Source organism: Homo sapiens, chromosome 4, assembly GCF_000001405.40.
Source record: "Homo sapiens chromosome 4, GRCh38.p14 Primary Assembly".
In the NCBI taxonomy this organism is placed as follows: domain Eukaryota; kingdom Metazoa; phylum Chordata; class Mammalia; order Primates; family Hominidae; genus Homo; species Homo sapiens.
In genome coordinates this window covers 48,609,358-48,624,143 of record NC_000004.12, presented here as the reverse complement: position 1 = coordinate 48,624,143, position 14,786 = coordinate 48,609,358, and the positions used below count along the sequence as shown (strand labels likewise).

Sequence of the window (14,786 nt, the reverse complement as noted above, 5' to 3'; positions counted from 1 at the left end):
GCAGTCATACTGGAAGGTTACCTCCTGAAAGTATTGTACTGGCAATATACTGTTTATTTTTAATGAAATACTCTTTCTTCTTGGCTTCTGTGATACCAAGCAAGTTCAACTGGCACAGAAGTTTATGCAGTAACAACTTTCCATCCTCAGGCCCCAACTTTTACCTCTTTTTCTAACTATCAAATTTCTCTCCCCACTGGTAAACACATGGTTCTTTTACATATACATACAGAATATAGTTTTACATACATATAAAAGGTATTTTATATTACTAGCCAATGTAAGTGAATGTGTATATACAATATATTATACCCAAAGTATTTCTTTGTTTTTTTTTAACTTATATTTCTCTTACGAGTGAGGTTAAGTATTGAACAGATATTTAAAAGCTATAAGCTTTTAAACAGAATAGGCATATTGCTGATACCAGTATTTGACAACCGCCTTGTTTTTTCAGATAAGAAAACTGAAGCACAGAGACCATAAGGCATCAGCCTATGGTCATTCACTTCGTGGTAGTCAGGTCGGAGGTCACACCAAGGCCCTCTGGCTACTGATAATCTCTGTACTAGGCTGCTTTTCAGTAAACTCTTGAATGAATGAAAGAAAGAACACATACTGTTGACTTTTGAACTTGAATCTAAACAAAACCTATGTTGAACTTTAAGTCTGTAATCTAAGAACTATCAAACTTAAACTTGTTACAAAAGGAGATGATGAGCACAACCACTTTCTTTGGTATGGAGAGTATCACAGTGAGAGCCTTGCCTCTGGAGCCACACTTAAATTAACCATGTGACCTTGGGCAAAGAGGAGGCTTATCTTTCTTTAAAACAATCTAGTAACAAGTGAAAACGAGCAAAACCAAACGCACAAATCTAAACTGTTTATTATGTAGAAGATTTCTAATGTTTTATATTTGTGCTTTATTTTTATTTTTAATGTTTGTTTTTTTTAATCATAGGAGAAGCTATTGTCCAGATCTCTTCAGAGGGGTGAAGATCTTCAGTTTGATCAGGTATGACAATTTTGGGAGAATTTTTTTTTCCCCTGGAAATAGTGTTCATCCTAATAGTCTGGCCCAAATGTATTCAATATTAAGGAATTCCTTAATTTCTATATATCCTTGTATGCTTAATTCATTCTAGATTTGATAGTTTTTTTAAATAAGTAGTATAATGAGCTGTGATTAGTTTCACTTCATTTAGCATTTTACAGCTTTTCATTGTTAATCTCTTTAATGTACCTTTCACATTTTTCATTTTCAGTTACATCCCTCAGTCTTTCCTTCTGTATCAATTGCCACACTTTTTACATAATAATATTTTACCTTTTAACATTTATTTATTTTTCTGTGGGGCTCTCAATCTGCATGTAGAATGCCGGTGTCTAACAACTCTTGTGCTGATCTTCTAATGCTAATTCTTCCTCTTGCTTGGATTAAATGTTGGATCAATTTTGTTATAAGTATTTAAATATATGGTGGTTATTTTTAAAAACCAGTAATTTAAATTAGCTTTCTTTACTATCTAGTACTCCTGGGACACTTTACCCAAAATTATATATCTCAGAAATAGAGTTTAATGTTCATATCAGGCTAATTGACTAAATAAAGAAGAGTGGTTAGAATTACTTAGTGGAGACTTACCAAAATACTGTGTTCCTGGATCCACTCCAGTTCTGCCAAAGCAGAATCACTGAGGGTGGTGCTCTGGCCCCTGTATGTACAACAGCTTCCTAGGTGATTCTGATACATACATTTAGTAAATAGCCACTGGTCTAAGAAGAAACCATAAATAGGGCAGTAAGACCTCTGTTACAATAAGACTATAATAAGATCACCTTATACAGTGCTTTTCAAGTCTCATGCCACTACAAAAGTTATTTAGATTATTCACATCTTGAATCCATGTCACTAATCAATCCATAATCAGGATTTGAAATCTGATTAAACAACATTTTAAGGACAATTTCCATTTTTATTGTAAATGATTAATAAACTATAAATGATTGTGCCTCATAGCTTGATTTTTTTTTGTAAGGGTGCTCACAATAAAAAGCTCTGTGTGGTATAAACTGTTTTGTATTTATTTACAATAGTTGATGGGTTTTTATTGTTCCTTCTTTAGATATTGCAAGGGATTTCTTCTGAGTGATAGTGTTCATTGTTAATGAAATATAGGTTTTTTAAAAGTATGGTTAAATAAAATTAGAACCTTGTTTATACCTTAGTTTTCTGTATTAGAAACTATTTACCTGTCAAATTATGATAATGTACAATAAAAGGATTATTAAAGGAGAGTACAAGTAATGAAAATGAGAACAGCCAACAGAATCAAATAAACTGTTTCATTCTTTTTTCTGGATGAAGTTTTATGCAGAATATGAAATAACAGGAAAATTAAATGTTCAATTTACAGAGGTATCAATTTATCTTCTTCAATAACTAACTCCTGCTCTAGTCATGGAACTAAAAGAGACCTTGAATATCCTGCAACCCATACTTTTTAAAATAAGTTAACAAAGTGAAGCATATTTAATTATATACTGATTTCAGAATATTAATTTTATGAGAAATGGGTTGAATCACATACAGAAATTTTTGTGAAGAGAGAAAATTGTTCTTGGGATCCTCAAGGTAAAGAGTGACCTTAGGGACTGCTGATGGTAGCCTGTGCAGACAAGTTGGATTCATTCATGAAAAGAATCTGTGATGTTTACCTAGAATTCAGATCATTTCAAGAATGCCCCAAATTTAGTAACATTTGTTCATCACAGTACACTTATCATTTATGTTGTCCTTTTATGTAGTCTAAGCCTTACACACTGTTTACATGTTTCTAACATGCTAATTTGCAGATAGCAGAGTAATTATAATTCTCCTCTTTGTCATAGCATAGTAAATTGGAGCTTTCCCCACAGTTCTTACATAATGTAGTCTTTGTTTCTGTCTTTTCATCCATGTAGTGGCAATATTTTAGAATCATTTGTTCACATGAACACATAGGAGTTGCCAGGGCAGAAAGTACATGTTATTTGTAATGCTTCCCCCAAAGATATCTGTGTATTTAATCAGGGATGTTACTAATGGGCATGTTTTTACATGTGCGAGTGGCATATGGAGGCAGGGAAAAGGTTGAAAGCCATTGAGCTAAACCACGTGGATTTGGATAAAGTTTAATAGTGGGTGAAACTTAGCCAACTTTATTACTTGGCTAAACCCTTGACCCTTGCTTTAATTTTAAAGCACATTTATTGCATTGAGTTACTGTGTTTATTCATTTCTAAATGATAGCTAATAGAACTTAAGAGTGTGGTACATTCAGTGTTACAATTTATTTTCTGGTAATATCTTGTGTTTTCAGTTGATAAGCTCTATGAGCTCAGTAGCAGAGCACTGTCTCCCTTCCTTACTTCGCACCTTGTTTGACTGGTACAGACGCCAAAATGGAACGGAAGATGAATCTTATGAATATAGGCCTCGGTCTAGCACAAAGTCTAAGGGGTAAGTGCTTTATTTTACACTGTTTCACCTGGAATTAACACACTTCCAATGAAGGGGTGATATTATCAACTGAAGGTTGTTATTGTTTGATTCCTAAGCAAACTGCGTTGATTACTTTTGTTACAAAGATGGTAGTAAGGGAGAAGGATAGTTCACACATAAACTGTAAATCAAGAGAAGGTACCAGTTAAACTAGATGTAGCCCTACAGTACTCATACTGGGTATCATGCAAAAATTAGTAATACAAAAACCTATTTAGGAGTGCCATTTCAGCAGTTCAGTGAGGAGCTTTTAATAGTCATAAAGTTAAGAAAATATTCAAAGAAGTTCCTGTTCATATGGTTTATGAAGGGAGGCAATTATTGTAATACAGGAAGACTGCCAAAACCCTGTGTTATAATAGTACTATGATACTGTTCTTGGAGCTCAATTCCTAGAACTTGTTTTCTTCTCCTTCAAATTTCCCAGGATGATCTTGTCATGCATGTAAGAGCCACGTGTGTTCAGGTGATTGTCCATGGTTTAGTGTTGGACTTCAGTAGATGCCACTTGTGATTTTTCAACTTAAATTTGTGAGAAGGATACCTTGTACTGTATTTTCATGTTGAAAAGTTAATACTTTTGTTTCAGTTCTTAACAAAATACTAGTAATCAAATATGGAACAATGCTACATTTTCTAAATGAAATTTAAAATACTTTTCTTCTTCTTACTAATTCTTTTAGGTTAAGTTTAAATGCTAACAGATATAATAGTGAACTCTGAATAAACACCCCGTATATAAAAAGGGAAAGAACATAAAAACATGTTTTTGCATATGTTGGATTATTAAAAAGCTTCAGACCAGGCACTGTGACTTATGCTTGTAATCTGCTTTAGGAGGCTCAGGCAGGAGGATCACTTGAACCCAGGAATTTGAGACCAGTCTGGGCAATATAGGGAGATCCCTTCTCTAGAAAAAATAAAATTAGCTGGGCATGGTGGCGCTTGCCTGTAGTCTAGCTACTTGGGGTGGGAGGATCACATGAACCCAGGAGGTTGAAGCTGCGGTGGGCCATGTTTGCAGCATTGCACTCCAGCCTGGGTGACAGAACGAGACCCTGTCTCAAACCAAAAAGACAAAAATAAAAAACAAAAAGCTTCATATTAACAATTGCTGTAGCACATTTTACATAGTAGGAAAACAGTAAGCGACATGAGCTACTAACTAACAGGTATTTTTAAAGTCATAATCTTAATGCAGTACTAATTTTGGATTCTTGTTTCAGGGATGAACAGCAACGTGAAAGAGATTATCTTCTTGAAAGGAGGGACTTAGCAGTAGACTTCATTTTTTGTTTAGTTTTAGTTGAAGTTCTAAAGCAGGTAAGCTCTTTTATTTCTGCAAAGTCTGTATTCCTTATTCTTTGCTTACTGTGCCTTCGTGTTTCAGTTACTTTAAGATGCTGTGTCTAGAATTTTAGCCCACATAAATTAAATTCCTGTAATTTCATTATACTTCTTTCAGTTGCCTGGGGCTTTCCTGCCCTGTACCTATCTGTTATCTCCTCTATTTTTTACCTTTGTATGCTTATCCAAGATATAAAATCTTGTTAGCAAAATGGAGCTGAATGGAAATTGTGTTAATATTGACCTTTAGCTGTAAATGTAGTTTGCCTGCCATTCAGCTACTTCAGTCCCTTATTCCACTTTATTTCTCCTCTAAGCCCCCAAGCCTGCATTCCAACATGTAATAATTGTGCACTTTTAGTAGAGGCATGGGGTGATTTGATAAGGGTACTGAATTGTCATGTGCAAATGTTTTTCAGTCAAGTGAGAATACTTCAGATAATAAGTTAGGAATGTTTATTCATTCAATGAGTATTAGAATGCCTACTGTGTGCTGGCACTGTTTTAGGCAATAAACTCATGAGCTTGCACTTGAATGGGATAGATACACAGTAAAGATATGAATATATAATATAGTGTCAGGTATAGTCTTAATATTTTTATTACTCCAGATCAGTATAAATGCCTGTGCTGAATTTGAAAGCTTTTTTTTTTTTTTTTTTTAAAGATCATGGTCTTTAAAGTTATATCATTCAAGGATGATCCATGTATTTCCAGGCACGAACATTGTATTCTTTTGAAACAAGTTAGGAAGCCTAAAGGTCAGAGTCATATTTTGGATATGACACATTTGGACAGGGAGTTTTGTTTTTGTTACATAGAAAGGAATATGTGACAAACAGCAAATACAAGATATAAAATTAATTGACAGTCTGTTTTTCTCATAGTATAAAAGTACTTGAATTATATAATCAGTTTTATTTAGCTTTTATTTTTACAAGGAATATGAAAAGACAGTTCTTTGGTACTCTGAAATCTGCAAATAAACATAATTTTAAATATGTAAAACAGAAGAGTTAATTAAAGGTTAAATCACTTTAATATATGCATTTCATAAACGTTTTTTGGTAGAGGTAGGAAAGAAATCTCCTCTGGGAGTTGTGCTAACAAGCCAAATTTGACTTCTGTGATCTCTTGGTTTAACTGAGATACTAAGACCTTAAGGCAGCAGTCACTAGGATAGGAAGAGCTAAGGACTGGATATGGCCACAGCCCAGCAATGGACTCTGACTACTGCTCATTGTGATTTATCCCTGGTGTATCTTGTGTGCTAAATGTATTTCATTTAAGTGGATTGGTAACCAGTATTTGTACTTTTTTGCTTAAACAGTATAGGGTTTCTTCCTCCAGCCAGAGAAATGGCAGACTCCCTACATTAGCATTCAGGAACCCCAGTGACCTGGCCCCATTGTGCCTTCCTCCTTCGTTCATTTCCCATGGCATCCTTTTCTTAGATGTCAGTCTCGCTCCTCATCCTAAAGTTGCCCAATTGCACTGGCTTCAGAACTACAATTCACAGGCAACCCTGTGGAGGCATTTTTCCCATCTCTTCCCCCTCATCCTCCCTGTCCTCTTCCCCTCCTTGTTGCCTTTGTAGCCCTCCTCCTCCTCTTTTAACACAGTCCAGATAGGTCTTCATGTAGGGGAAAAAAAAGAAAAAAAAAGACCTATAAACATAACACTTTTTTTAGTAGTGGGGACCCCATCTCTACAAAATATAAAAAAATTAAAAAATTATCTGGGTGTGGTGGTATGTGCCTGTAGGCATAGCTACTCTGGAGGCTGAGGCAGGAGGATCACCTGAGCCTAGGGATTTGAGGTTACAGTTAGCTATGACTGCACCACTGTACTCCAGCCTGGGTGACAGTGCAAGACCCTGTCTCTTTAAAAAAAAAAAAAAAATCTTTTTTTTTTTCTTTGGTGGACTCATTGTTCACATTCACTGCACTGCACAAAATCATTTCTGACCCATGGTTCACATGGACTGAAAGTGAAAAAGAAATACAGTGGCCTTGATAGCTAATCTTTGTCTTTGGATCTGTCACCATATTATTCCAACCTATAGTATCCTTTCTACTTACTTCTTCCCCTCTGTTACTATTATCCCCATACGCTAATTTAAATGCACTCATCAAAAAATATATACATTTATATGTATCTCACCAAGAACATAGATACACTTTATTCATCTAAAATCCTATGTAGGGATTATTCCCGCTGGTAAAAGGCAAGTCTTTGTAGCTTCTCTAATAAAACTAGAGAAAACGATGTAAAAATCAATAGAGCTTGCTGAAATATCACCACTAACTAACCCAATTTTCTTCTGTCAGAATAACATGAGGTTTAATAGATCCAGAGAGTAAACAATGTAATATATCTACAATTTAATAGGACTTTTACTTTTGCCCCATATAATACACCTATATTAAAATGTGATTCAGGTTTATTGTGATGAGGCACACAGTCTACAGAGGATTGAAGTGTTGATAAATGGTTGTTTCAGTCTTGACGAGTAAAATATTCCTTATAGGTTAGACTTTGACCTCATGTATTAGAAATTATTTGTATCTTGAATAATTTGTTTTGTCTGTAATAATCACACGTTTGGAACTCTTCAAAATGTATGAAGGACTCTATCTCTTTTGTGCCAACTGATCATTGTAATAAACCCTGGGAGATGGCCATGGCAAGTACTATTAATATGCCAGCTCTCTTGCTTGCTTTGTAACTTTGGGCAAGTTATTATCCCTGACTCTTCCTTCCTCTATAAAAATGTGTGATATCATTTTTGTAGAATCATAAGAATTAAATATAATAACGCCTAATGCATGGAAAGTCCTCAATACATATTATCTATTATTTTCACTTTACAGGTGAAGAAATGTTCTTAATTGTAGTGATTTGCTGAAGATTATAAAGCAAATTCATTGATTTTACTCCAAATTTTCTCTTTAATGATAAAAATAAACTTAATTCTCATTGGTAAAATATGTGATACATTAGGTGAAATGGCCAGTATTTTTTTTTTTATTATTATACTTTAAGTGCTGGGGTACATGTGCAGCACATGCAGGTTTTTTACATAGGTATACAGGTGCCATGATGGTTTGCTGCACCCATCAACCCATCAGCTACATTAGGTATTTCTCCTAATGCCGTCCCTCCCCTAGCTCCCCACCCGCCGAGAGGCCCCAGTGTGTGATGTTCCTTCCCCTCCCTGTGTCCATGTGTTCTCATTGTTCAACTCCCGTTTATGAGTGAGAATTTGCAGTGTTTGGTTTTCTGTTCTTGTGTTAGTTTGCTGAGAATGATGATTTCCAGCTTCATCCATGTCCCTGCAAAGGACATGAACTCATCCTTTTTTATGGCTGCAGAGTATTCCATGGTGTATATGTGCCACATTTTCTTTCTCCAGTTTATCATTGATGGGCTTTTGGGTTGGTTCCAAGTCTTTGCTATTGTGAATAGTGGAAATGGCCAGTATTTTATAAAATTGAATGAAACTTTTCATTGTAACAAGTTAGCCGAAGAGCTAATGTAAATATGATGAAATTAAGTAGTGGGATTCACCTTGGAAACAAAATTAATTCCAGATAATAGAGGACTAATTTTGCTTTTCTAAAAAAGTCATTAGAATAAATTTGGGGTAATGCCCAACTAAAATAGTATGTTTGTACCAAAGGGCTTAGATCCATGATAAAAGCATGTTTAAACAGCAATATCACATTTATAAAGTTTGAAGCAATACTCTTTTTAATATTGAATTTTAGTCATATGTTCATTCTTTAAAACAAACAAGAAGTTGAGAAACCTAGTTTGTGAGCCATTTCAAGCTCTTGGCTTGGTTTTATTCATATTATTGTGAAGTATCAGAAGGTGGTGATATCTTTTATGTATACGGAGTAGATTATTTGCATTTTCAGACTTAATAGCATTTTAGATATTGATGAGCAGTCCCAAAGGTCCACATGGGAGGTGACTTGTCATTCTGCTAATGTGTGATGTTTACACTCCTTGGTGCTGAGAATTGGTCATTTAGCTAATGATTGGGCTAGTCCAACTTCACACTATCTTAAGCTAGTCTTTTGTTCTTTACTTTCATAATGTGATAAAAGCATTAAACTGGCCGGGCGCGGTGGCTCACGCCTGTAATCCTAGCACTTTGTGAGGCCGAGACGGGTGGATCACGAGGTCAGGAGATCGAGACCATCTTGGCTAACACGGTGAAACCCCGTTTCTACTAAAAATACAAAAAATTAGCCGGGCGTGTTGGCGGGCGCCTGTAGTCCCAGCTACTTGGGAGGCTGAGGCAGGAGAATGGTATGAACCTGGGAGGCGGAGCTTGCAGTGAGCCGAGATCGCGCCACTGCACTCCAACCTGGGAGACACAGTGAGACTCCGTCTCAAAAAAAAAAAAAAAAAAAAAAAAAAAAAGCATTAAACTTTTGGCAGTGGTAGTGGAAATAGCCTTGGAATAAACCTGAGTATTTGTTATTATAGTTTCTCTTTTTTTTTTTTTTTTTTTTTTGAGATGGAGTCTCACTCTGTTGCCCAGGCTAGTGTGCAATGGTTTGATCTTGGCTCACTGCAACCTCTGCCTCCCTGATTCAAGCAGTTCTCCTGCCTCAGCCTCCCGAGAAGCTGAGATTACAGGTGCACGTCACTAAGCCTGGCTAATTTTTGTATTTTTAGAAGAGATGGGGTTTCACCATGTTGGTCAGGCTAGTCACGAACTCCTGACCTCAGGTGATCCGCTTGCCTTGGCCTCCCAAAGTGCAGGGATTACAGGCGTGTGCCATTGCACCCAGCCAGTTACTATAGTTTCTACTAGATTTTCTTGCATATTGAAGTAGAATTAGAGCCGCTTCTAAAATCACACCGATGGCAAGATCTTAGAAATTCTTGTTGCTAAAGATGGAGATATTACTCCATGAAAGTAGAACGTTTTCTTTGTGACCCGAAATGAGATTCTTTTCTCTTTCTTCTTTGGAAATTCAGTTTGAGAATTTTTTTTTTAAACTACTGAAAATAAGGGGAGAAATAGGGACTTTCAGGATGTCTGTGTTCTGATAATGTTCATTCTTAAAGTAAAATTTTTAGAACTTATGTATTTTTTATCACACCTCGAACTCTGTCTTACCAGAACTTATGTATTTTTAATTAAAATTAAAGATAAGATGTATTTCTTCTTTTACTTCTCTGTGTTTCTCTTTCTTTCCTGGCAGTAATATGATAAGACCAAAGTTTTCTTGCTGATTTGTTTTATTTATTCAAATGCCTTTTTTTTTTTTTTTTGGTTGGAGTCACTCTCTGTCACCCATGCAGGAGTACAGTGGGGCAATTTCAGCTCATTGCAACCTCCACCTCTTGGGTTTAAGCAATTCTCCTGCCTCAGCCTCCCGAGTAGCTGGGATTATAGGCATGTGCTACCACGCCTGGCTAATTTTTATATTTTTAGTAGAGACGAGGTTTCACCATGTTGGCCAGGCTGGTCTGGAACTCCTGACCTCAGATGATCCACCCGCCTCAGCCTCCCAGAGTGCTGGGATTACAGGCGTGAGCCACTGTGCCCAGCCTCAAATGCATTTACATATATCAGAATCTAGGGACATAGTATATTCTAGAGAAGTACACAGCAACCTCTGAACTTCATTTCCCTCATCTGTAAAGTAGGAGGTATACCTGTGTCTTGTAAGACTGTTAACAAGTGTTATAAACATAGAAAATGTTGATGGTGGTAGTAGGGTGGCAACAAAGAGCACATAGCATGGCTGAGTGTTGTCGTTAGCTGTCATTGTTAAACTTCAGTCATAACTGAAGCAAATATAGTAGTCTCCCTTTATTCTCAGGGGATATGTTCCAGCACTCCTAGTTGGTACCTGATATTATGGATAATATCAAACCCTGTATATACAGGTTGAGCATCCCTAATCTGAAATGTCCCCAAATCCAAAACTTTTTGAGCACCAACATGACACTACAAGTGGAAAATTATACACCTGACCTCATGTGATGGGTTGCAGTCAAACACAGTCAAAACTTTGTTTCATGCACAAAATTATTTAACATATTTTATAAAATTACCTTCAAGCTATGTGTATAAGGTGTATATGAAACAAACAACATTTTGTGATTAGATTTGGGTCTTATCCCCAAGATAGTTCATTATGTATATGTGAATATTCCAAAATTTAAGAAAATCAGAAATCCAAAACACTTCTGGTCCCAAGCATTTCAAATAGGGGATACTAAGCCTGTATTATGTTTCTTCATATACATACATACTCATAATAAAGTTTAATTCATAAACCAGGCACAGTAAAAGATTTACAACAATAACTAATAATAAAATAGAACAGTTGGCCGGGTGCGGTGGCTCACGCCTGTAATCCCAGCACTTTGGGAGGCCAAGGCAAGTGGATCACGAGGTCAGGAGATTGAGACCATCTTGGTTAACAGGGTGAAACCCTGTCTCTACTAAAAATACAAAAAAAAAAAAAAAAATTAGCCAGGCATGGTGGCAGGCGCCTGTAGTCCCAGCTACTTGGGAGGCTGAGGCAGGAGAATGGCGTGAACCCAAGAGGTGGAGCTTGCAGTGAGCAGAGATCGTGCCACTGCACTCTATCCAGCCTGGGTGACAGAGCGAGACTGTCTCAAAAATAAATAAATAAAAATAGAACAGTTGTAACAATATACTGTAATAAAACTGTATGCATGTGGTGTCACACACACACACACACACACACACACACGTGCACACACAGTCTTAGTATTTTCAAACCATGGTTGACCTTGGGTAAACCACAGAAAGCAAAACCGTAGATACACAAGAATTACTGTATAGGGGAGGAAAAAACTTTTTGCTCTGCCTTCTTGGATTTAGCGCCTGGGGCTCTACAAACTGAACTGACAAGAGAAAGATTACCAGGGTCAAAAGGTTTATTACGAATGCACATGGATGCCTCGAAGAAAATATGCAAAGATCCAAGAATTAATACACTTTTTTTTTTTCAAAGATTCAGGTACAGACTGGAATATATACCATTTTAACAAAGAGTGATAAGTTGTAGAGTAGTGACAAGACAAAGGAAAAAGGTTTGGGCTTCTAGAAACAATAAAATTGTGGGAAGGTAAATATATGCAGAAAACTAATGGAATGTAATGGTTATTTAGTAAGGATTGTAGAGGAAACTGTTCCTGCATCTGCTGTTTCTCAATTGCCTTTAGCTCAAAATAATCTGCATGCCAATAATATATTGTGGGGTGACATACCTGATCTCCTTCACTAGATTGTATGCTGCTTTGCAACAATATATACAGAACCTCACTTTTTTACATTCTCTCTACTATTTGGTATTTTCAGACTTAATCTTTTTCCCATCAAGTAGGTATAAAATGATATCTTGAAGATTTTCATTCTCCTTATGATTAGTGAAATCAAGCATCTCTTTGTCAAAGCACAAAACCAGAAAATTAGAAAATATTACTAAAAGTTATTTCATGTAAATATATAAAAATACAGTTACTTCAAATTGTTTTATAGATTCATTGCAGCTCTAATAAAAATCCTAACAGTTTTTATAGAACTTGAAAAGGTGACTCTAGATGGAATATGGAAGAACAATGGGCCAAGAATAGCCAAGCTATCTCTGAAGAAAAGTAAGGAGAGGACCTGCACTACTAGATATGAGAACTTATTATTAAGCTTTAGTAATTAAAAAGATGGTATGATTTTGGTATAGACACATACAAATTGATTGATAGAACAAAATGGAGAGCTCAAAAATAGACCCACACAGTCAGGGCCTTCATATCTGTGAGTTCTATATCCATGAATTCAGCCAACCTTGGATCAAAAATATAAAAATACCCCATAAATATATACATCTGGTAGGTACACACAAAAATTAAAAATTAAAACAATATATATAAATAAAAGTAACAATACAATAATAAAAAATAATAGGAAATACAGTATAACAACTATTTATGTAACATTTACATTGTGTTACATACTATAAGTAATCTAGATAGAGATGATTTAAAGTGTACGGGAGGATGTATGTAGTGTTATATGCAAATACTACACCATTTTATATCAGGAACTTGAGCATCTGCAGATTTTGGTATCACGGGGGTCCTGGAACCAATGCACCATATATACTGAAGGATGACTGTGTAGAACTAGAATATGTGTTAGCAATGACTTGTAAACTCTTTAACCCAGCAGTTCCTTCTTTCAGAGTCTTTCCTGTGGAACTCTACAAGTATATAATGTTAAATGCACAAGATGTTTATTGTAGTACTACTTGAATATTGAAAATCTGAATTGAAATGTTCATTAATAGGGGGCTCCTCAAATTGTGATATATACATATCAAATTGTGATATATACATATTGAGTGTATATATGTATACATATTGAGTGTATACATATATACATATATACATATTTCAATATATACAATATATTGAACATATATATAATATATGTATATATACAATATATAATACATGTATATAATATATGTATATAATATATATGTATATAATATATGTATATAATATATAATATAATATATGTATATATACAATATATACATATATACTATATATACATATTTCAATATGTATATAGGTATACATATTGAGTATATGGTTTATATATACATATCAAATTGTGATATATACATATTGAGTGGCTGTTAGAAAGTATAAGGAGGCGCTCTAAATACTGACATGGAAAGATACATTATTTGGTTAAGTAAAACTAAGGAATGCACGCATGCATGTGAGGATGTGTAGGAAAAAGTCTGGAAGGATGTACATGAAGTTGTTAATAGTGATTATATGTGGTGGAGGAGTAGGGCTTTTATTACTGGTTTAAATGTTTAAAATTTGTTTTACATAATAGGAACTAGCATATACTCTTTTAGAGTTGAAATGAGACTATTTAAATGTCGGGTTTTTAATAATAAGTCTATAAATAGTTTAAGATTGTTAGAAAAGATAGTGTCCCTTGTGACCATTTTCATGATAGTTCAAAATTGAGTTATATTAAATGTAGGGCTGACTCATTACAAAGGTGCTTTTCTGTAAGTGTTACAGGGAGGTGTACATGTCTTTTTAGTTTGCTGACAGTAAATATTAAGCAGTAATAACAACTATTGCTTTTCCCACTGCATAGTCCATAGTTCAGTGATTTGTGATTATGAAGCTAATATTCTTAAATTTAGAGCTTGTGAAATTTGATGAGTAACCAAATTCTTAGAGAAAACGAGATTCTCAGAAAAAAGGAAGATTGACAGATTAGTAATAATCCCATGAACATTAAGATTGATTATTGATTTAATTAGTTGAATTGATGAGAATACTCATAAAAAACCAATAATTTAACTCTTACTTGATAATTTTTTTAAATTCTAGATTCCTGTTCATCCTGTACCCGATCCCTTAGTTCATGAAGTTCTAAACTTAGCTTTTAAGCACTTTAAACATAAGGAAGGGTAAGTAAAATACTAACTTGGGATTGTTGCCTTTTTTTGCAATCCAGGTCTAGACTATTTTAAGTCTTACTGATCATTTGTTTGAGAGTTCAAGGCAATTCTTATCTTCCTTTTTTTTTTTCTTGAGGCAAGGTCTCACTTTCACCCAGCCTGGAGTGCAGAGATGCAATCATGGCTCACTGCAGCCTTGACCTCCTGGGCTCAAGTGATCCTCCCAACTCAGCCTCCTGAGTAGCTAGGACTACAGGTGCACGCCACCACACTCAGCTAATTTTTGTATTTTTTTGTAGAAACAGAGTTTTGCCATGTTTCCCAGGCTGGACTTGAACTCCTGGGCTCCAAGCAATCCACCTGCCTTGGCCTCCCAAAGTGCTGGGATTATAGGT

General features: G+C 35.3%; 1 protein-coding gene across 17 annotated transcripts in view; it reads left to right on the top strand.

The window, feature by feature from the left end:
* FRYL (FRY like transcription coactivator) overlaps positions 1–14,786 on the top strand; it is a 282,923-nt gene that overhangs the window by 156,136 nt on the left and 112,001 nt on the right. For all 17 annotated transcript variants that reach the window (XR_007096393.1, XM_024453991.2, XM_024453993.2 and 14 more), the window contains 4 exons: positions 965–1,018; positions 3,366–3,505; positions 4,774–4,870; positions 14,321–14,400. Coding sequence is in view for 16 of the 17 variants with exons in the window: in XM_024453991.2 (XP_024309759.1) it covers positions 965–1,018; positions 3,366–3,505; positions 4,774–4,870; positions 14,321–14,400 (371 nt within the window). In the remaining variant the exon portion in view is untranslated. The remainder of the gene's footprint in view (positions 1–964; positions 1,019–3,365; positions 3,506–4,773; positions 4,871–14,320; positions 14,401–14,786) is intronic.